Raw genomic sequence first — 21,336 nt, forward strand, 5'->3', positions numbered from 1 at the left:
ATGCTATCCTACTTCAAGACTTATTATATAGCTATAGTAATCAAGATTGTGTGGTATTGTTGGAGGAATAGACATAGATCAATGAAACAGAATACAGAACCCAAAAATATACTTACATAAGTATATCTAACTGATTTTTTACAAAGTGCAAAAGTAATTTAAGGGAGGAAGGGTAGTCTTTTCTATAAATAGTGCCGGGAGTAAAAAGAAAGAATCTTGACCTAAACCTCACATCTTACATAAAAATTAACTAAAAATTTATCATAGATATAAATATGAAAAATAAAACTATAAAACTGGAAGAAAACATAGGAGGAAATCTTCAGGACCTATGACTTGGTGAGGAGCTCTTAGATATGACACCAAAAGCATAATCCATAAGATAATTCGGAAAACTGGACTGCAACAAAATTGAACACTTTTCAATTTTGCTTCTCTAGGAAAGCCCATGTGAAGAGGATGAAAAGACAAGCTAGAAATTGGGAGAAAATATCTGTAAACCACATATCTGATAAGCAACTCAAATCTAGAATGTATAAAGAACTCTTGAAATTCAACAGTGAAAAAACACAAACAATCCAATTTTAAAATGGGAAAAACACACATACAGACATTTCACAAAGAGGATATATGGATGGCAAATCAGAGCATGAAAAGATATTGAGCTATTATGAAAATGCAACTTGAGACCCCAATGAGATAATACTACCTACCCATCAGAACAGCTAAAATGATAAATAGTGACAGTATCAAACACTGGCAAGCATGGAGACAAACTGGATCTCTCATGCATTACTGGACTGTAAAATGGTATACTCTAGAAAAGTCTGGGCCAGGCGCAGTGGCTCATGCCTGTAATCCCAGCACTTTGGCAGGCTGAGGTGAGTGGATCACCTGAGGTTAAGGGTTCGAGACCAGCCTGGCCAACACGGTGAAACCCCATCTCTACTAAAAATGCAAAAATTAGCTAGGCATGGTGGTGGGCACCTATAATCCCAGCTACTTGGGAGGCTGAGGCAGGAGAATCACTTGAACCTGGGAGGCGGAGGTTGCAGTGCGCCAAGACTGCACCATTGCACTCCAGCCTGGACAACAGAATGAAATTTCATCTCAAAAAAAAAAACAAAAACAAAACACAGTTTGGCAGTTTCTTTTAAAACTAAACATGCAATTATTGTACAATCTACCAATCACACTCCTGACATTTATCCCAGAGAAATAAAAATTTGTGTCTACACGAAAACCTCTGTACAATTGCTCATTGCAGCTTTATTTATAACAACCAAACCTGAAAACAACCAAAATGTCCTACAAATAGTGAATGGTTAAACAAACCGCAGTATATTCATTCCATGGAATACTACTCAGCAAAGAAGAAGAATAAACTATGGTCCTGGTACACAGAACAACTTGAATGGATCTCAAGTGCATTATGCTTGGTTATAAAAAGCCCGTATCAAAAGGTTATATACAATATGCATCCTTTTACGTAACATTCTTGAAATGACAAAATTATAGAAATGGAGGGCTGATAAACAGTTGTCAGAGGTTAGGGATGGTAGAGAGGAAGGGAATGGGTGTGACTATGAATGAACAGCCAAAGGCATCTGGTGATGGAATAATTCTGTATCTTGATTGCGGTGATGATTACAGGAATCTACACACGATAAAGTGACAGTACTACACACACACACACACACACACACACACACACTTTATACCAACATCAATTTCCTGGAGTTGCTGTTTACTAGAATTATATAATATGTAATCAATGGGGAAAACTAGGTGAAGGGTACATGAGACTTCTCTGTACTATATTTGCAAATTCCTGCAACTATAATTATCTTAAAATAAAAGCTGGAAAAAAGTATTAACTTAAGATCCTCATGTACTGGTTACTTAAATTATGCTAATACTTTTTTGTTTAAATATAATTTTTAAATATCCCCACCAATATCTTATCTGCTAATTAACTGTAATTTTGATGTTTTATGCATGAACACTGAAGGGCACACTTTATAGTGAATAGCTCCTTTACTACATCACATTTCTAAACTGGAAGGTACTATAATCTCAGGACTCTTTGAAATAAAGCTGCTCAAAGACAACTAGTATTCAACTTAAAACAGGAAAGCGGCTGGGTGCAGTGGCTCATGCCTGTAATCCCAGCACTTTGGGAGGCAGAGGCAGGTGGATCACCTGAGGTCGGGAGTTCGAGAACAGCCTGACCAACATGGAGAAACCCCGTCTCTACTAAAAATACAAAATTAGCTAGGTATGGTGGTACATGCCTGTAATCCCAGCTATTCAGAAGGCTGAGGCAGGAGAGTCACTTGAACCCAGGAGGCAGAGGTTGCAGTCAGCTGAGATTGTGCCATCACACTCCAGCCTGGGCAACAAGAGCAAAACTCCATCTCAAAACAAAACAAAACAAAACAAAACAAAAAACTAGGAAAGCAGGCTGAGCATGGTGGCTCATACCTGTCATCCCAGCATTTTGGGAGGCTGAGGCGGGAGGACTGCTTGAGTCCAAGAATTTGAGACCAGCCTGGGCAACACAATGACACCCCATCTCTACAAAAAAAAAAAAAAAAAGCCAGGCATGGTGGCACACACCTGTGGTCCCAGCTACTTGGGAGTCTGAAGTGGGAGGATCACTTGAGCTCAGGAGGTCAAGGCTGCGTGAGCTGCGACTGCATCACCGCACTCCAGCCTGGGCAACAAAGTGAGACCCTGTCTCAAAAAACAAAAAAAAAAAAAAGAAAAGAAAAAAGAAAAGAAAAGAAAATCAATTCCACAAGGACAAAGGCAGCTTCAGAATGTTCATACAAGAGACACTGGAATGTCTTCCAGATCTTACCAGATCCTTCCACAAGGCAGTGGATGTCATAACCTACCACCTTGCCTGGTACATATTAGGAAGCACTCAGTAAACACTGCTAAGTTAAATGAATGAATGACCTAAGGGCTGCCTTATTTTTGCTCACTGAAACAAGAAATGCAGGTTTACAGATCCCTTGCCATAGTTCTGATCTACAGTTTGAACACTTTTCCACAATAAATCTGTATTTGGAGAGAAAAAGAGAAAGGTTTATACAGATGAAATTTGTCTAAAAGTAGAGTGAAGTAGTAATCAAATACACAGCATCCGTGTTACTAGGTTTTATAAAAACATATTTTAATTTGCCTCCCTTATTTCCTAAATCTTCTTCCCAGCATCTGTTTATAAACTGCTCATGTCATAGATTATCTCTGTTCTATTAACAAAGACTTTATGCCTATGCTGCAGGCTACCCTTGATCCTGTTTTTTCTTCCACCTTTTACCCTTAACCCCTCCTCAAGCCCCTACCACATGCACTGAGAGAGAGAGAGGCTGAGAGAGACAGAAAGAAAGAGAAAAACAGAGAGAAAGAGAGAGATGACTGCACCTTGCAAAATAGGAATTTAGACAAAACAGGCTTCATTTGGCACACAAATATTCAAACACAAAGTGTTCACCATAAAGTATATACAGAATACAGAAGACTCAAATACACAATACAGAAGACAAAACTGAGTTGTGCCACCCTTACTGAATTCACCTTCAGCCACAGGACTTGAGAACTGGTTACCAAATCTGTAGATTCTATTAAGGCTCCAAGTTGCTTGGGGATGGAGTGAAGAGGAGGGTAGAGGTCAGTTTCGTCATTTGTTAGGAACTAAGAGGGGTAGGGAACTAAACTTGATAGGACCTTTTACACTGATAATGTTATTAAATGCTTGTAACTATAAGGTAGACATAATCTATACCGGATAGGTGGGAAAACTGCAGCTGTAAGGCTCAAGAGGTAAAGCTAGATTCAACCCAGACTTCCTTACTTCAAATATTCTAAAGCCTAGGATCTTTCCACCACATCCTTCTTCTACAAATCCAACTTTGGGAATTACAGCTACTCCCTTTCTCTAAAATAATTTCTTCTCCTTAGAGCACTAATAAGCTAATCAGAGACCTGTTGGTAGAGGAAGGAGCCTGAGATTACACTTGTTACAACTGCTCTTTATCCACTGTATTACCTTGAAGTCAGGTTGTCCTCTCTATGATCATGTTACTTTTTGAATTTAGTTGATTTCTAAGTTATTCTAAGAATAAAAAACACTGACTCCAAGATGGCTTCTGTTGCAAATGCAAACACTTAAATCAGAGCTATTAACATTGTCCAAAATGTACTTTCCAGAGGAAACACTATTTGTTTATTTAATTCTATCTGGCAACGTTAAACCATTTCCAGTTGCTTCCATTTTTCATTTTACTAAAATTATCTTTAGTGGGATCAACTCTTCTCTGCAAAATGTAATTAAATATTACCCTATATGTTGGTTCTGAGCTGTATTTTTTTCTGACCATGTCACAAATTTCACCAATTACTTTTCACACTGGCAATAGTCTTCCGTGGCTTTTATTTCTACAAACCTAATTTTTCCCCGAGTGCTTTATCCTTCTGGCTCTGGAGGTACATGTGTAAATCTGTAATGAACACAAAACCTGTAATGGAACGTCCTACACCTAGTGCTCTGAAAAGTTGGTTCAGTGTATCCAATATTTAAAGTCTAATAACACGGGCATGCTAAGGGAAGTTTGCTATTCAGATTAAACAATGCTCTGACGTGAGCTTCGTGAATGGTTAAAGAAACAATCGTCCCCTTTCTCACTCCCCATCTCTTCCAACTGGGAGAAGCCCTTGGCGCCCATCTGTCAGCCCAGGGTTCCTGCAGGCGCGTGCCTTGGGTGGCCCCGGGGTCCGGGAACAGGCTGACGGGAGAAAGGGGACAGAGGACTCCAAGAAGCCCAGTGAAGCCCCGTGGGGAGCCCCATGGTCAAGGCCGGGACTGAGGGCCGGGTGGGCCCTGGGCCGCCTCCACCTCTGGGCCCGCCCTGCGCCACACCCTAACCCGCCTGCTCTTGGCTAACGGGCCGCGGCACCCGCCTCCGCCCGCCAGCCCTCACCTCGCCCGGACGGCGGCCTTCGGAAGTCGGCGCCTGCCAGCTACCCGCCGCCTCCTCAGCAATCTTAGCCGACCGGGAGGGCTCGGCCCAGGTCACCGGCAGCCCAGGCGCAGGTAGGCCGTGGTGCGCGTGCGCGAGTCTTGAGCCACCCCACCTCCCCCCTACCCCGCATTCGCTGCTGCTAAGCGACACCCGCACCCAAACCGACCAATCCCGGCGCGCCTCCACAGCCCCCGTCCCGGCGAAGGCGCGAACGTAGTGGTTCTTAAAGGGCTGCGACCCAAACGGAGAGGGAGTGTGACGGGGGCGCGCGCCTCCCAACTTTCTTCCCACCTCCCGGCTCTCACCGCGGCGGTTTGAGATCCAAGCCTGTAATTCTCACGTCCGGAGGTGAGAAGGAGCCTTCGTGATCTAAGCTCGATTCCTGCCGGGGTAGCAACCGGACTGACGTCTGGAGGCGGGGAGGCTCCGCGTGACAGAGTGATAACGCCCGGGGCGTATGTTCTGCGGTCCGCGCGGCTGGGCGGGAGGCCCGAGATAGGCAAACCAAAGAGCACAACCTACTGCCAGCCTGGATGGGGCGCCAAAGTCCGACCCAGGGGGACACACCCCAAGCTGGGGACCGAGGCACCCACAGATGGATGACTGGCTGGAAGGAGATTAGGTAGGTAGCAGAGTCCGTCCATTTATTCATTTAGCAAGTATTGAGCACCTGCTATGTGCCAGGGGTTGTGGACAAAGCGAGGAATTCCTGACACGAAAAACTATGTTAAGAGAGGAGGCAGGGTGAGAGCACCCTTCAAACAATCAAACACCTGTATAAATACAAACTGCTCTTCAGGGAGGAGCAGGGGTTTTGGGAGAATTTACAGAAGCTTCTAGGCTGGTGTTGGGAATCACAGGAGGCTAACTAGGCAAAGGGGAGAGGAAGTGTGTTTCAGATGGAGAGATTAGCATGTATATAAGAACTCTGTGGAAGGCAGCAGAGCTCCTTTGAGGGATGAAAAGAAACCCAGAAAGGGGGAAATGGAAAGTTAGTGCTTAATAGGTACAGAATTTCAGCTGGAGAAGATGAAACAGTTCTGGAAATGGATAGTAGTGATGATCACACAACAATGTGAATGTACCAAATGCCACAGATCTGCACACTTAAAAATGGTTATGTACATTTTACCACAAAAAGAAAAGAAACTCAGAGTTTAGAGAATAAAGGAGTGGAGTGAGATCCACTAGAGCGAATAGAAGGGGCAGGACCATGTAGGATTTTATGGACCATAGTGGAAAGTTTAGGACCATAGAACACTGGTCAAAATTGCATTTTATAAAACTCACTTTGGCTGCTAAAGTGCAGATCAAAATGGAGAAGTCTCAACAGAGCTATGGTGGGACTGGCCTGGGAGCCAGTGCAGTCATCTGGGCAAGAGAGAATGGAGCTGGAGTGTGGACTAGGGTGAGAGTGAAGAAAAAGAGATCTAAGAAGGCTGCAGAGAAATGTAGGAGCAAAATCAATAGGACTTGGTGATGAGTTGGATGTGAAGGGGCGATGAAGCAGCTTCAAGGATGATGCCACTGTTCAGCCTTGGATAAATGGATGGATGGTGCAGGGATTCACAGATATGGAGAACACTGGAAGAGGAGATAAGATTGATCTTGAGCTCCATCTTAGACAAGTTGAATTTGAGGCACCTTTGAGACTTGGTTAGGATTTTGCGATGATTAGTTTTAGATGTCAACCTGACTAGGTTAAGGGATACTCAGGTAGCTGGGGGAACATTACTTCTGGGTATGTCTATGAGGGTGTTCCCAGAAGATATTGGCATTTAAGTCAATGGACTGAGTAAGGAAGATCTGTCCTCATCTAATATGCGCAGGCACCACATAATAGAACAAAAAGGCAGAGGAAAGGCAAATTCTCTACTCTGGAGTTGGGACACCCCTCTTCTGCCCTTGGCATCAGAATTCCCCGTTCCCCTAATCTCCTAACTCTAGGAGATTAGGTAGTAGAGTCCGTCCATTTATTCATTTAGCAAGTATTGAGCCTTTGGACTCCAAGACTTGTACCAGTGGTTCCCCAGGTTCTCCCGGCTTGGGCCTTGGACTGGGAGATACACCATTCAGCTTCCCTGGTTCTGAGGCCAAGTCTAAGACAGGGTAGTCTTGAACTGAAGCAGTCTACCAGCCTCCCTGGTTCTCCAGCTTGTAGATGGTCTATTGTGGGACTTCTCAGCCTCCATAACTATGTGAGCCAGTTCCCCTAATAAATCCCCTCCCATATATCTATAGATATAGATCTATATTGTAGATATATAGATATCACATTGGTTCTCTCTCTCTGGAGAACCTTGACTAATACAGATGTCAACACAGCAGGTGCATATACAGGTTGCAGGTCAATGTAGAGGTCTGGGCTGAACACAGACTTTTTTTGAGGCTGAGTCTCACTCTGTGGCCTAGGTTGGAGTTTAGTGGCACAATCTCGGCCCACTGCAACCTGCGCCTCCCAGGCTCAAGTGATTCTTCTGCCTCAGCCTCCCAAGTAGCTGGGATTACAAGCATCTGCCAACACGCCCAGCTAATTTTTGTATTTTTAGTAGAGATGGGGGTTTCACCATATTGGCCAGTTTGGTCTCGAAATCCTGGCCTCAAGTGATCTGCCCGCCTTGGCCTCCCTAAGTGCTGGGATTACAGGCGTGAGCCACCACGCCTAGCCGGGACATAGACTTTTGAAAGTCAGCATCATATGGGCGGAAATCGAAGTGGGGCTTACATAGCCAGAGAAAAATTACAAAATGAAAACTGAAGAGAATTGTGATACAGTCTAAGATAGCCTCCAGGGTTCACCACCTCCTGGGATTTATACCCTTGTGTAGTCCCCTCCCACAATGAGTCTCTGATAATGAGGGTAGGTCATAACAGGCACAAAGAAGGAGAAAAACCAGGAGATTCAGGGTTGGTAAAGGCAATTGAAAACCCTGTAGCATAAGTGCTCTTCAAATATGGGGAATTGGGGCCAGGTGTGGTGGCTCACACCTATAATCCCAGCACTTTGGGAGGCCAAGGTGGGTGGATCACGAGGTCAGGGACCAGCCTGTCCAACATGGCAAAACCCCGTCTCTATTGAAAAATTACAAAAATTAGCCGGGCGTGATGGTGGACATCTGTGATCCCAGCTACTTGGGAGGCTGAGGCAGGAGAATCACTTGAACCTGGGAGGAGGAGGCTGCAGTAAGCCGAGATCGCACCATTGCACTCCAGCCTGACCTACAAGAGCGAAACTCCATCTCAAAAAACAAACAAAACAAAACAAAACAAACAAACAAATATGGGGAATTGGGCTCTCAAAACTTGTGGTGCGAGTGCTTTAGAACAGGACCTTACACTCTCTGACTGGTGCAACTGGTGTGGTTCAGGCACCATGGTAGATTGGACAACAGGGGTGAGATGTAGTACCTAAAGTCCTAGCTCTCATCTCCAATCATTGTTCACTTTGGCTCCAGGTTCACAGTCAACTCCAGAGTCTTTCTCTTCCAGTCCTCTTCAGTCCTCCACTCCTAGGGTAACACCCTGGACCACAGAAGAGCTCCACCTCTGAAGTTATAAATGCAGACACCTGATCTTTCATCTGTCCTTCTGCTATTCTCTGAATTCCTTTCATGGTTTCTCTAGCCTGCAGAAACTTCCAGTTCATTTGTCCCTCTACTTTGTTTTATTTATAAGCTCCATCGAGTCTTCATTTCCTTCCCCATCAGCTGAGAGTTCAGGGTTTATCACCTCCATCACATTCTTCCCAATATACTTATATTCCTTGCACAGTTATCTTTCTGGCATAACTAGAAGGATAGTAACACCCATCTGGCAGCACTACAATCCTGGAAGAATCCAACCTTCTGTCTTCTCTGAATCTGCTTCTTGGCTCTAAGTGCTGCTGGACAAAATCTCACAACCACACAGATCAGTGCTACATACATTGTCAACTTCAACTAGGTCCTCAACACCTTTCAGCGCTCCTATTTGCCAAGGCAGCTCTCTCTCCAGCTCTCCCCCAAAATCAACTTCCAAATATCCTGCATGCTCCCCAGATCTCCCACTCTTCAACCCCCCCTCCCCCGCTTGCTCTCCCAGGAACCTCCGTTACTGAAGAAAGAGCAACCATCAAAGTGATGTCCCTTAGCTCCAGACAACTCCTCTCCTTCCAGCTACCACCTTCTTTCCCCTCTCCCCTTTACAACCAAACCTCATGGAAAAAGTGGTCTATATGTGAACACTCCATTGCTTCACCTTCACCTTTCATTATTTCTCAGTCCCCTGCAGTTCTGATACCTGTTTCACCATATCACTGAAAATGCCCTCCTCAAAGACCTAGTCTTTATTCTTCCTTGTTCTTTTGTTGTTGTTGTTGAGACAGAGTCTCGCTCTGTCACCCAGGCTGGAGTGCAATGGCACTGAGGCTTACTGCAACCTCTGCCTGCCGGATTCAAGTGATCCTCCAGCCTCAGCCTCCCAAGTAGCTGGGACTACAGGCCTGTGCCACCATGCCTGGCTAATTTTTGTATTTTTAGTAGAGACAGGGTTTCAACATGTTAGCCAGGCTGGTCTCAAACTCCTGACCTCAAGTGATCTGCCTACCTCGGCCTCCCAAAGTGCTGGCATTACAGGTGTGAGCCACTGCACCCACCCCTTCCTTGACCTTTCAACAGCATTTGTCATTGCTGTCCTGTATGTCCTTTTCAGTCACTGTTTAAAAAAAAAAAAAAAGCCATAACCCCCACTCTCCTGGTTTTCCTCTTCCTATATCTCTAGTCTCTTTCTCCCCTCAGTCTCCATTGCAGCTTCTTTTCCTCTGCCATAAGAGAAACTATCACATTCTCCTTAGGCAGTCTTATCCACTACATAGTTCCAGTCAGTTTCTACAAGTGATGTTTCTCAAAGCTGTATCTCCAACCTAGCCTTTGTCCCTGAGTTTCAGCCCCAAATAGCCACAAGCCTCAACATCGTTTGACATCACCTCACACTGTACATTTCCACAACTGAATATATCACCTTCATTTCCATTCCAGCATCTCCCCCACTGTTCCCTGCCTACATAAGGGGCATCACCAGTTTCTCAGTTGCTTAACCCAGAACCCCAGAAGGCATCCCTAATTTCCCTTTTCTTTCCCTCCCCACTTGATCACTAAGGCCTGCCAAATCTACTTCTAATGTCTTTCAAATGCACACACTTCTTTTCTCATTGCTCCCACTATCTCTGGCCTGCATGCTTGTAGCAGCCTTGTCACTGTTCTTTTTGTTTCTCATCTGGGCGTCTTCCCTAACTTTCACCATGTTACAGCCAATAAAACTCTAAATGCATCTCAGGCTTCATCATTCTTCTGCCTAAAACCATCCATGGCTCCCATTACTCCTAGGAGAGTACAGAATCTGGACACCTGTGTCCTGCTTAACCTCCACTTTGCCTTTATACTGCCTTTATAAACCTTTTCTTCTGGAGGTCTTTCCCTGTATGCTGGAACAGGTTGGTCCCCTATAACACCTGCCTCACCCTAACACCATCTCATTTTTTTTTACCTGATAGAAACTTTAATGATGTTAAAAAACCAATCAGTCCAGGTGCGGTGGCTCACGCCTGTAATCCCAGCACTTTGGGAGGCCGAGGCAGGCGGATCACGAGGTCAGGAAATCGAGACCATCCTGGCTAACACAGTGGAACCCCGTCTCTACTGAAAAAAAAAAAATACAAAAAATTAGCCGGGCGTGATGGCGAGCGCCTGTAGTCCCAGCTACTGGGGAAGCTGAGGCAGGAGAATGGCATGAACCTGGGAGGCGGAGCTTGCAGTGAGCCGAGATCGTGCCACAGCACTCCAGCCTGGGCGACAGAGCGAGACTCCGTCTCAAAAAAAAAAAAAATCAAATCCTTATATAAACCTCACTCAAAACCTTCGCTTTAGGCCAGGCTCTGTGGCTCACACCTGTAATCTTAGCATTTTGGGAGGCTGAGGTGGGTGGTTCACCTGAGGTCAGGAGTTCAAGACCAGCCTGACCAACATGGTAAAAACCCCCATCTCTACCAAAAACACAAAATTAGCTGGGCGTGGTGGTGCATGCCTGTAATCCTGGCCACTTGGGAGGCTGAGGCAGGAGAATTGCTGGAACCCCGGAGGTGGAGGTTGCAGTGAGCCGAGATTGCACCATTGCACTCCAGCCTGGGCAACAAGAGTGAAACTGTCTCAAAAAAACAAAAACAAAAACAACAATAACAACAACAACAACAAAAACCGGGGCCAGGCACGGTGGCTCACGCCTGTAATCCCAGCACTTTGGGAGGCCGAGGCAGACAGATCATGAGGTCAGGAGTTCAAGACCAGCCTGGCCAACATAGAGAAACCCCATCTCTACTAAAAATACAAAAAAATTAGCTGGGCATGGTGGCTTATGCCTGTAGTCCCAGACTACTCGGGAGGCTGAGGCAGGAGAATTGCTTGAACCTGGGAGGTGGAGGTTACAGTGAGCTGAGATTGCACCAATGCACTCCAGCTTGGGCAACAGAATAAGACTTTGTATCAAAAAACAACAACAACAAAAAAACCCCTTCACTTTATTCCTCAAAACATGTATGTCCCAGTTCCCTCCATTTCAGAGCCATAAACATAAAGCCTACAGGTAAGATACTTAATACCCAGGACAGATCTTTGTGTGTATATATACATACCATATGTAGCATTATGTTATATAGTATTATATAAATTACATGAAATTTTGCATAAGATTGGTAAGCAAGTCACTTAAACTTTATGAACAAAAGTATAGGCCGGGCATGGTGGTTCATGCCCATAATCCCAGGGAAGCTTTCACAGGTGGGAGGATTGTTGTCTGGACCATCTCATGTTATTGTCATTCCTCACTTGTCTAAACAGGAATAGGGCTGAGTGGAACTACGGAAGACCTGTATCCTGCTCCTGATGTTTCCTTTTCTGCCCACTCTGTGTCTCTGAAAGCTTTGGGGAATTTTCCTGAGGAGGAAGCCTGATGTGGAGTTAACAGTGCAGGCTTGGTAACCAGGAAGCCCTGAGTCCGCCCCAGCTCAGGTGTTACCTCACTTCTCTCACCGGGTTTACCTCTCTGTGAAATGGGATGAAAGCAGGCCGGGCACAGTAGCTCACACCTGTAATCCCAGCACTTTTGGAGGCCGAAGCGGGCGGATCACGAGGTCAGGAGTTCAAGACTAGCCTGACCAATATGGTGAAACCCCATGTCTACTAAAGATACAAAAAAAAAAATTAGCCGGGTGTGGTGGCAGGCACCTGTAATTCCAGCTACTCAGCAGGCTGAGGCAGGAGAATCGCTTGAACCCGGGAGGCAGAGGTTGCAGTGAGCCGAGATCACACCACTGCACTCCAGCCTGGGTGACAGAGCGAGACTCTGTCTCAAAAAAAAAAGAAAAAAGAAATGGGATGAAAGCTGCCTTTTCACAGGTTTGAATAAAGGGATTGTGGAGAGAAAGCCCAGTAAAGCAGATGAGCTTGCTCAGGATCAGGGCCACCACTCAGGGGAATAAAGCTCTAGGGACCTCCCCTTTTTAGGAGTGTAGGTTCCCAAGATCTCCCTCCTAAATGAAGTGGCCGCTGCTCACTCCAGGGAAAACGAATCTTGTTACCACATCCACCACGGATGGCTAGAACAGGGGACCGGTACCGCATAGCAGGAGGTGAGCAGAGGGCGGATAAGCATTACCGCCGAGCATTCTGCCCCCTCAGATCAGCGGGGGCATTAGGATCAGCGGGAGCATTAGATTCTCACAGGAGCGTGAACCCTATTGTGAACTGGACTTGCAAGAGATCTAGGTTGCGCGCTCCTAATGAGAATCTAATGCCTGCTGATGTGAGGTAAAAGAGTTTCATACCAAAACCACCCCCACCTCCGTGGAAGACAAGAAAAATTGTCTTCCACGAAACCAATTCCTGGTGCCAAAAAGGCTGGGGACCACTGGTCTAGAAGACTACAACCAATTCAGTTGCAGTGGTCACCAGGAGTAACCATGTGGCCCAAGAAGGTATGTCCAGCTTCCTCCTTGCATCTTGCGGCACAACACCTTTGCGGTATGGTGCCTGGGCAGTCCCGGGTTGTTAAGGGTGAGAGTTCTAAAGCCAGGCTGCCCGTATTCAGAGACTGGCTTTGCTAAGGAACCTTGGGCAAGTTACTTAACCTGTTTCGTCATCTGTAAAATGGAGAAAATACCAGTGCTTTTTAGGGTTGCCAACCTAATAAGCATTATTCCTGCCCCAAATAAGTCCAGGCTATGTGGAAAAACGCGAATTTCTCGTTCAGCAAAGAGTAAAGCTAATACCAGAGTTTTCCTGGCCTGCAGATTTGGCCTGGCAGGAGACAATGCCATAGCCAATGTTCATGCTCCAGATGCAGACCTGGAGGCACAGAGTGATGTAGAGAGGACAATGGATCTGAAGCCATGTATCTGGGTGCCAGACACGCTGGGTGAAGCCGAGCAAACCGCTCCTGCAGATAGATTGAGTATGCACACCCAGCACTTTGGGAGGCCGAGGCGGGCGGATCACGAGGTCAGGAGACCGAGACCATCCTGGCTAATATGGTGAAACCCCGTCTCTACTAATACAAAAAATTAGACGGGCGTGGTGGCGGGCGCCTGTAGTCCCAGGAGGCGGAGCTTGCAGTGAGCTGAGATGCGCCACTGCACTCCAGCCTGGGCGACAGAGCGAGACTCCATCTCAAAAAAAAAAAAAGCATGCACAGCCTAACACTGGAGGTGCTGACGCCAGGTAGGTCAGCAGTAGACCCAGCCCCAACCCACAAGTTTCGCTCTCCAGACTGCGCAAGCGCAAAGGATACGAAAACGCCCCCGGCGTTCTGGGGGCTGGGACCGAGGAAAGCGCTGAGTATAGCTCTTGCGCGTCCAGTCACAAATGACGTCCCTTCTGTACCCCGCCCTGTAGGCGGGAGCATCCAATCAACTTCGAGAGCGTAGGCCCCACCTATCGTGGGTCGAGTTGCTTGGCGGTCGTGGTTCCGGAGGTTCCTCGGGATGTCGGTGGCCTTCGTACCGGACTGGCTGAGGGGCAAGGCGGAAGTCAATCAAGAGACTATCCAGCGGGTGAGCATCCACGCGGGCGGGCGGGCGGGCGGAGAGAAGTCGGGATCCCGAGGGGCTGCGGGGTGCGAGAAGCATCCTGTAGTGAGCGGCCTCCCAGCTGACTGTGAAGGGTGCTGAGCAGCCGGGGTGCGGGGTGAGATGGGCACGAAATCAGCACAGGCGCCGGGGCAGGACCCCGGCATGGGGTTCGGTCCCCCGCCGTCCAGACGTCACACTGCACTAACCCTTTCTCTCCTTTTTTTTTTTTTTTTGAGACGGAGTCCCGCTCTGTCGCCCAGGCTGGAGTGCAGTGGTGCATCTTGGCTCACTGAAACCACCGCTTCCTGGCTTCAAGCGAGTCTCCTGCCTCAGCCTCCTGAGTAGCTGGGATTACAGGAGCGCGACGCCACTCCCGGCTAATTTTTGTATTTTTAGTATGGGGTTTCCCCATGTTGGCCAGGCTAGTCTCGAACTCCTGACCTCGTGATCCGCCTAGATCGGCCTCCCAAAGGGCCGGGGTTACAGGCGTGAGCCACTGCGCCCGGCCTGCACTGACCCTTTCTTTCTCTGATCTTTCAGCTCCTTGAGGAGAATGACCAGCTGATCCGCTGTATTGTGGAGTATCAGAACAAGGGCCGCGGGAACGAGTGCGTGCAGTAAGTACCCCCACCCCCGCGCCCCTGACCTGTGGGTAGAGGGGAAGCCTGTGTGATGCGGTGCTTTCTCGAACTAAGAGTCTTGGGTGATTGATCGCAGTTAAGCCCCTCTTTGAACTGAGGAAAGAGAGGCTCAAAGAGTTTGCCAACCTGCCCAAGACCATACAACGAGTACACTGCGGAGCCTGGAGTCAGACGTGGCTCTTTCTTCAAAATGTGAATTATTCTCACTGCAAAGCCTCCTTCACTCAAAGCTATGCCGGCTGATGACAACAGGGATGGGGGTGAGAGCACACAGAAAACTAAGCTCAGGAGATTAGAGCCATGGCCCCTTTCTCATCTTGGATCCCTGCCTCATCCTTTCTCTGTTAAGTGAAGGGGTCAGGCCATTTGACTGCTAAGCTTCCTCTCATTTCTAACTTCCCGTCAGTCTGTTAGTGACACACACACAAAGACAAACAAAGGATTTACAAGTTAAGTCAAAGGTAAATTGTGCATAATAATTTAATGCACTCCCTAAGTAGATACCAAAATGAGAGAAAATAGAGTCTGAGTCTCTTTTCCGAATCTAGTCCAGGTATTACGCCCATTTTTTTCTTTTCTTTTTTTTTTTCTTTTTGAGACAGTCTCCCTCTGTCACCCAGGCTGGAGTGCAGTGGTGCAATCTCGGCTCACTGCAACCTCCACCTCTGAGGTTCAAGCAATTCTCGTGCCTCAGCCTCTGAGTAGCTGGGACTACAGGCGTGTGCCACCACGCCCTGCTAATTTTTATATTTGTAGTAGAGACAGGGTTTCACCATGTTGGCCAGACTGGTCTCAAACTCCTGACCTCAGATGATCCACCCACCTCGACCTCCCAAAGTGTTGGAATTACAGGCATGAGCCACCACGGCCGACCTTATGCCCATTTCTTATAGAAAAATATATTATTTCATTGTTACTGAAGAAATGTTTCACAATCCCTACCCCCTAGAAAAATTACCTACAGTCCCTCACTGAATACCTTAATAGAATAGTAGAGATATCAGTTTTTGGGTAAATCTTTACATCTGACTCTGGCATTTGGTAATTTGATTTTTAAAAGTTTATGGTAAATACCTTCTCCTTTTTCTATATGAAAAATGGTTGCAAAACATTCCATTTGGTACAGTAATTCTCAACCCAAGGGTAAGAAAGTTATCAAAATCTCCTAGTGGGGTTTTTCAATTGCACAGGCCATGCTTTCTGAGCCCTTGTCTGATTTATTTTTTTGGGTGAAGAACTCTACCCCCCCCACCGTAAACTTATGTTGATCATGAAAATGTTTTGTCCCTTCTTGAAGTTGTTGAACAGATATTTTATAAGTACAGTTGGTCCTCTGTATCCATGGGTTCTGCATTGCATTTCAAAAATATTGGGGAGCACAAAACAATGAAAAATAGCAACACAACAATAAAAAAAATACAGTATAACAACTATTTATATGGCATTTAAGTTGTATTAGTTATTATAAGTAATCTAGAGATTATTTAAACTGTGAGCCAGGTGTGGTGGCTCATCCCTGTAATCCCAGTACTGTGGCATTACAGTGGGAGGCTGAGGCGGGCAGATCATCTGAGGTCAGGAGTTCAATACCAGCCTGGCCAACATGGCAAAACCCCATCTCTACTAAAAACTAAAAATACAAAAATTAGCCAGGCGTGGTGTGTGCCTGTAATCCCAGCTACTTGGGAGGCCGAGGCAGGAGAATTGCTTGAACCCAGGAGGTGGAGGTTGCAGTGAGCCAAGATCACGCCACTGCACTCTAGCCTGGGTGACAGAGCAAGACTCCGTCTCAATAAATAAATAAATTAAAGTATATGATATGGAAGGCTGTGTGTAGGTTATATACAAATACTATGCCATTTTTTATAAGGGACTTGAGCTCGAGCATCCTCAGATTTTGATATCTAAGGGGAGGAGGGAGGTGTCCTGGAACCAATCCTCTGTGGATACCAAGGGACAATTGTACTCCTGGTACCAGGCACTGTTTCAGACTCTGGGAAATCCATAGTAAAACAGATACCAGCTCTGCACTCACAGAGCTGACATTCTAGACTCTAGAATCTATAAGGAAATGTATAATTAGGCACATAATAATAAGTGCTTTGAATAAGAATAAAGCAGAGTAAGTGGGGGGAGGAGTGCTATTTTATACATGGTATGTCTGATAAGGTGATATTTGAGTAGAGACCTGGGGTAAGGGAGCCAGCTATGCAGTAGTAAGGCATAGTGAGATAAGTAAGACAGAGAAAGCATCAGGTGGAAAAGCCCCCTAGTAGGAGTGTGCCGGATATCTTCAAGTCACAGAAGGAGGCCACTGTGGCCAGTATTCAGTGAACAAAGGTATAGCCATAAGAGGTGAGATCAGAGGGGGACTGGAGGCCCCCATCATGTAGGGCCTTATTAGGACACAAGAACAGCTCACCTTTACCTGAATGAGATGGGAGCCTTTGGAAGGTTTTGAATAGACATATAACATGATTTTGATTTAAATTGTACAGTAATCTCTCAGGCTGTTATGTGGAGAATAAAGTAGGTGCGCAAAGATAGATCTGGGAGACTAGGTGTCTACTGCAATAGTTCAAGCAAGAAATGATAGTAGCTATGAAAGTAATCAGTAAGAATGGGTGAGAATCTGACTATATTTTCCTTAAATATGTTAAACAAGAAGGTTGATAACACTGAATCATCCAGTCAGTGGATGAGCCATTCCACTAGAGTGGGTAAATTATTTTCCAGTTTTTTGTTCATGGTCGGTAAAAACAAGCCTCTGATTTTTGCCTGTTTTTTTGCCCATAGGTACCAGCATGTGTTACATAGAAATCTCATTTATTTGGCTACCATTGCAGATGCCAGTCCAACCAGCACTTCAAAAGCAATGGAATAATCTTTCAAAAGCAATAGAATAATCTTCCATTTGGCTGTCGTGAGGAGTAATTGAATGTAATCCATCTCTTACAAAATGGAGACAGGGTCTTTACCAACTCAACTGGTTAAAACATGAATGAAACCTCTGTGGCTCTTTCGAAACGTGAAAATGTGAAGAAAGCTACTAACTTAGCTGTATTCTCATGTAAATATTTTTTAAATAATTAAGCAAATCCCTCAATAAGTTGAGCCCAGGTGTCCTCTTTCCTGAACTTGGAGCATGTTTGGATAACAAAGACATCACTGGGATGTTCAAGTCTACTTTTTAGTTTCAACCTGAAGAGGAAACTCAGTAGGTGTTGGGCAGGAATTGGTGAGATTCCTGACTTGATACCTTGCTAAATGGACATGTAACTGTGTGCTCCTTCCTATCAGTTTGTAAATGTGGTCCCCCTGACTGCTGTTTTCAGATTGCTTTGAAATAAAGCTTATTTTTCTATAAAATACTGATGTGGAGGTATAGAAGTTTTCATGTAATAAGTATTCCATTTGGTTTTCAAGAATAACTGTGAGGACTTAACCATAAAGTATATAAAAACAATACTATTATCATTGCCAACAAAATGAATAGTGATTTCTAATTATTATCTAATATCATCTGATAATAGATGATGTTTAATTTTCTTCAGTTATCAGATAGTCTTTTTGTTGATTTGTCTGAACCAGAATCCAAATAAGATTCACATGTTGTATTTTGTTGATGTTCCTTTAAGTCACTTAAAGAATACTTAATAGTTCCTTTTTTTCTTTATTTGTTGAAATAACTAGGTGTTTACCCTAGAATTCTCTCGTGTTCTACATACAGTTGTATCTCTGTAGTGTTGTTAATTATGTGCCACTATCATCCACTTTTCCTGTAAACTAGTAGATCTAGAGGCTCATGCAGACTCATGTTCTAATATTTTTAGCAGGAATATATTAGAAGGTGATAAGTACTTGCTTTTGCATCACATAAGGAGTGACCTGACTTTTAAGTTCCCAACCAGCCTTTCACTTAAATTATGATCCACCCAGCTTTGATGTGGTAATTCATTAGGGATTACATAATGAGGATTTTCTAATTTATCATTCTTTCTGACTTTATTAGCTGTATTCTATAAAAAACTTTCACTCTTGGAGATTTATCTGAAAGATGAGGCAAAGGGATTCTTGTAAGTATATCCAAAATTAGAAGCCCAGGTCCCTGCTCCTTTTTTTGGAGTCAAGGGTTGCAACCTAGGGCAACTGTAAAATACATGTAAATAGTGAAGAGATAACTCATTTTGAATCCCAGCTCTATCCCTTAACCTCTGAAAGCTCTGTTTCCTCACCTCTAAAGTGAGGATAATGAAAATAGCATCTGCCTCCTGAGGTTGTGAGACTGAGATAACGTGGTTGAGAACTGGGCACATGTTAATCTATGTTAGCACTAATGTGCTGAGGGCTCTGGCTCTTTCTTTTTTCTTTTTCTTCTTTTTTTTGGTTTTGTTTTGTTTTGTTTTTGTTTTTGTTTTTTTTTGAGACGGAATCTCGCTCTGTCGGAGTGCAGTGGTGCAATTTTGGCTCACTGCAACCTCTACCTCCTGGGTTCAAGTGATTCTCCTGCCTCAGCCTCCCAAGTAGCTGGGATTACAGGCATGTGGCACCATGCCTGGCTAATTTTGGTATTTTTAGTAGAGACGGGGTTTCTCCATGTTGGTCAGGCTGGTCTCGTACTCACGACCTCAGGTGATCCACCTGCCTCAGCCTCCTAGAGTGCTGGGATTACAGGCGTAAGCCACCGCGCCCAGCCGATCATTTCTGTTTTCTAGAAAATTATTTTGTCTGTTTCCCCACTAGCATTCCTGATGGTTTTCCAGAGTCCTATCCCCTGAAGTTCTAATTGCTGGCATAATCACACTCTAAAAGGCTGAACCCCAGAATCATTACCTGAAAATTCGTACTACCAGTGGTTCTTCTTCATGATAAATCATGGACAAATTAAGCCTGAGTTTGTAAACTCTTTGGATACCAACTTTCTACCACTCTTGGAAGAGATGGAGGAGGTGTCAGTCATTTTGGTTGATACTAGCCCTAGGCCTGCCTTGTCCCAGGAGTTTCTTCACCTTAATCACAGACCAAATTGCATACTTTTATCTTCGAATCATCTAAAATATAATTTCAAATCACAAGACAGAATAAAATAATCTTTGAGAGAGGCAGAACCTTAGAAAGGAGATATTTTATCTCATTTATTTTACAGATGAAGAAAGTAAACTTCAGAGAGATCAAAGTGATTTGTCTCAGGTCACATAACCAGTGGCAGAAAGAAGAGAATTGCTGGAATGTCAAGATAAGAATGAATTCTAGGTTTAAAGTTGTTTAAGTATATCCCAAATTAAATATTTCATTCCTGAGCTCTAAAACCTATTTACATTGAAGCCTGATGTCCTAAACACGGTAATTACAAAGCTGGGTAATGGTCTCCATCCTTTCCTTTCATGAATCCATGTATGAAAGTTAGCTTTATCAAACTATTTCATCTCCAGAAAGGCATGTACATTTCATACTGTTCAAGTCTGTAATTGTCAGCAAAATCAGACCCAAGACCGCTAGCTTCTCAATTCAGCCTACAGACTGCTCCTCTAATAGACACACTGGACTCTCAGGGAGGTAGAATGGGCAAGCTCTAACAAAGGACAGCACTTCTGTGATGGTGTGGAAGTACCAAAGGTTTGACTGTACTTTAAAAAGGTGACATGGACGGCTGGGTGCAGTGACTCATGCCTGTAATCCCAGCACTTTGGGAGGCCAACGCGGGCAGATCACAAGGTCAGGAGATCGAGACCAGCCTGACCAACATGGTGAAACCCTGTCTCTACTAAAAATACAAAAAAATTAGCCAGGTGTGGTGGCGTGTGCCTGTAGTCTCAGCTACACTGGAGGCTGAGGCAGGGGAATCGCTTGATCTCAGGAGGCAGAGGTTGCAGTGAGCCAAGATCGTGCCACTGCACTCCAACCTGGGCGACGGAGCGAGACTTTGTCTCAAAAAAAAAAAAAAAAAGGTGACATAGGTGCAGAAACAGGTCAGAAATGATCTAAGTCAAGCTTGTCCAACCCGCCACCCAGGGGCCACATGTGGCCCAGGACAACTTTGGGTGCAGCCCAACACAAACTCATAAACTTTCAAGAAATATGAGATTTTGTTGCAATTTTAAGCTCATTGGCTATTGTTAGTGTTAGTGTATTTTATGTATGGCTGAAGACAATTATTCTTCCAATGTGGCCCAGGTAAACCAAAAGATTGGACACCCAATCTAAGTGAGCCCAATTTCCAAATTTACTATAAAACTACATTAATTAAAACAGTGTGCCACTTCACATCCATTAGGATGGCAATAAAGAAAACCAAAAAATAACAAGTGTTGGTGATGATGTGGAAAAATTGGAAACTTTGTGCACTGCTGATGGAAATGTAAAATAGTGCAGCTATGGAAAACAGTATGGTAATTCCTGGAAAAATCTTAAATGGAATTAGCTTATGATCCAGTGATTCCATTTCTGGGCATATATCCAAAATAATTGAAAGCAGGTTTCAAAGAGGTATTTGTACACCCACATTCATAACAGTACTATTTACAACAGCCAAAAGGTAGAAGCAATCTAAATATCCACTGACATATGA

At 44.8% G+C, this 21,336-nt stretch overlaps 2 protein-coding genes across 12 annotated transcripts in view, besides 3 other annotated features; one reads left to right on the forward strand and one right to left on the reverse strand.

Moving 5' to 3' along the window:
• The window catches only part of SEC22C (SEC22 homolog C, vesicle trafficking protein), a 53,110-nt gene that overhangs the window by 28,889 nt on the left and 2,885 nt on the right, over nucleotides 1-21,336 (reverse strand). For 3 of the 10 annotated variants that reach the window (NM_001201584.2, NM_004206.4, NM_032970.4), the window contains exon 1: nucleotides 4,989-5,110. The exons of 1 other annotated variant lie outside the window; for it this stretch is intronic. The gene's annotated coding sequence lies outside the window, so the exon portion shown is untranslated. Of the gene's footprint in view, nucleotides 1-3,585; nucleotides 3,622-4,988; nucleotides 5,111-5,335; nucleotides 5,442-10,553; nucleotides 10,706-21,336 lie in introns of those variants that run through there. 6 more of the 10 variants (XM_047449170.1, XM_047449168.1, XM_024453814.2 and 3 more) reach the window with 3 other exon arrangements.
• Nucleotides 4,577-5,403: an enhancer, noted in NCBI's record as "H3K27ac hESC enhancer chr3:42622926-42623752 (GRCh37/hg19 assembly coordinates)". NCBI's record gives its function as "activates a minimal SCP1, AML or CMV promoter by ChIP-STARR-seq in naive and primed H9 embryonic stem cells {active_cell/tissue: H9 hESC(naive and primed)}" and the evidence as "EXISTENCE:reporter gene assay evidence [ECO:0000049][PMID:30033119]".
• Nucleotides 4,866-5,195: a silencer, noted in NCBI's record as "silent region_14245". NCBI's record gives its function as "represses an Ori minimal core promoter by ATAC-STARR-seq in GM12878 lymphoblastoid cells {active_cell/tissue: GM12878}" and the evidence as "EXISTENCE:reporter gene assay evidence [ECO:0000049][PMID:35858748]".
• Nucleotides 4,983-20,077, forward strand: SS18L2 (SS18 like 2). 2 transcript variants are annotated; one of them, NM_016305.4, is made up of 4 exons: nucleotides 4,983-5,101; nucleotides 13,952-14,109; nucleotides 14,668-14,744; nucleotides 17,565-20,077. In NM_016305.4, the coding sequence occupies exons 2-4, from the start codon at nucleotides 14,041-14,043 to the stop codon at nucleotides 17,650-17,652; spliced, it is 234 nt and encodes a 77-aa protein (NP_057389.1). In that variant the 5' UTR covers nucleotides 4,983-5,101; nucleotides 13,952-14,040; the 3' UTR covers nucleotides 17,653-20,077. The 2 variants fall into 2 exon arrangements, with proteins under 2 accessions (NP_057389.1, NP_001357229.1); NM_001370300.1 differs by lacking the exon at nucleotides 4,983-5,101 and having other exon boundaries at nucleotides 14,003-14,109.
• Nucleotides 5,396-5,525: an enhancer, noted in NCBI's record as "active region_19746". NCBI's record gives its function as "activates an Ori minimal core promoter by ATAC-STARR-seq in GM12878 lymphoblastoid cells {active_cell/tissue: GM12878}" and the evidence as "EXISTENCE:reporter gene assay evidence [ECO:0000049][PMID:35858748]".

Source organism: Homo sapiens, chromosome 3, assembly GCF_000001405.40.
Source record: "Homo sapiens chromosome 3, GRCh38.p14 Primary Assembly".
Taxonomy (NCBI): Eukaryota; Metazoa; Chordata; class Mammalia; order Primates; family Hominidae; genus Homo; species Homo sapiens.

Excerpts from the sequence above, each read along its gene's own strand:
- SS18L2 (NM_016305.4), top strand. The coding sequence starts at position 14,041 with ATGTCGGTGGCCTTCGTACCGGACTGGCTGAGGGGCAAGGCGGAAGTC. Across the intron at positions 14,110-14,667 it reads ATCAAGAGACTATCCAGCGG|CTCCTTGAGGAGAATGACCA; the intron begins GTGAGCATCCAC and ends CTGATCTTTCAG. Across the intron at positions 14,745-17,564 it reads CGCGGGAACGAGTGCGTGCA|GTACCAGCATGTGTTACATA; the intron begins GTAAGTACCCCC and ends TTTTGCCCATAG.